This window comes from Homo sapiens, chromosome 5 (genome assembly GCF_000001405.40).
Source record: "Homo sapiens chromosome 5, GRCh38.p14 Primary Assembly".
NCBI classification, from domain to species: domain Eukaryota; kingdom Metazoa; phylum Chordata; class Mammalia; order Primates; family Hominidae; genus Homo; species Homo sapiens.
In genome coordinates this window covers 136,666,620-136,667,477 of record NC_000005.10, presented here as the reverse complement: position 1 = coordinate 136,667,477, position 858 = coordinate 136,666,620, and the positions used below count along the sequence as shown (strand labels likewise).

General features: G+C 46.9%; 1 annotated feature.

Moving 5' to 3' along the window:
- Positions 341-410: a silencer, noted in NCBI's record as "silent region_16380". NCBI's record gives its function as "represses an Ori minimal core promoter by ATAC-STARR-seq in GM12878 lymphoblastoid cells {active_cell/tissue: GM12878}" and the evidence as "EXISTENCE:reporter gene assay evidence [ECO:0000049][PMID:35858748]".

Here is an 858-nt window from a genome sequence, read left to right as displayed (position 1 = left end):
CCTTTGCCTCGCTCTCTGCTCAGTCCTAAGTGTGGTGGTAGCCTGTGTGATGGTTATGCCTCAGCCCTGGCTGCCCCAGCCCATACCTGGCTCATGCCTCAGCCCCAGGGACAGTGGCCTGCACTTCTCTTTAACCTCAGCCCCGATGCCACTGGGCCCCAGGACAACATGCAGTCTGTTGGGGGCAGGGCTCTCAAATAGTGCTCTCTTCAGCTGCTTAGGTCTTAGGGAGGGTGTGGGGCCCAGCAGGAGCTTCCTTCCCGGAGGAGTGCTATCACACAGTCGCTTGGTAACTCCCCATGTTAGTTTCAGGACTTACAAGGCTTAAGGGGCTCTCCCATGGCTAGAATTGCAGAAGTGCAAGGTGGGGATGTGGGCCACTAAGGGGCCACTGTGGGAGGTCCCTCGGCTCTCAGCCCATCCTGGCAAAGCAAGCTGCCTTTATTCCCTCTCCTTCCTCACTTAAGTATTTCCTGTCACTTTTCTGTTGAATTTTAGTGTTCTCTATTGGATGATCTATTTACTTCTAGTTAGTTATCTTGAAACTCCTCCTCTAAACATACTTCCCTAAATCAACATGAAGCCAATACCCTTGCAGAAAAATGGCAACAGACATAAAAGGCAGTTCACAAAAAGAGCAATGTAAGTGGCCAGGTTAAAAAGACAAAGCTTAAGTTTGTTGTAATCAAAGATGGAAATTAAGATCATTATATATCATTTTTGCTTCTTACCCTGATTGAATGCTTTTCATTGTGATTTACAGAAAACCTGACAAAACATAGCTCAGAAAATACAAACTTTTATTACCTTGCACAAAGAGTACGTGTGGAGTTGTTCCCTGGCAGTTTATTAAGTGAG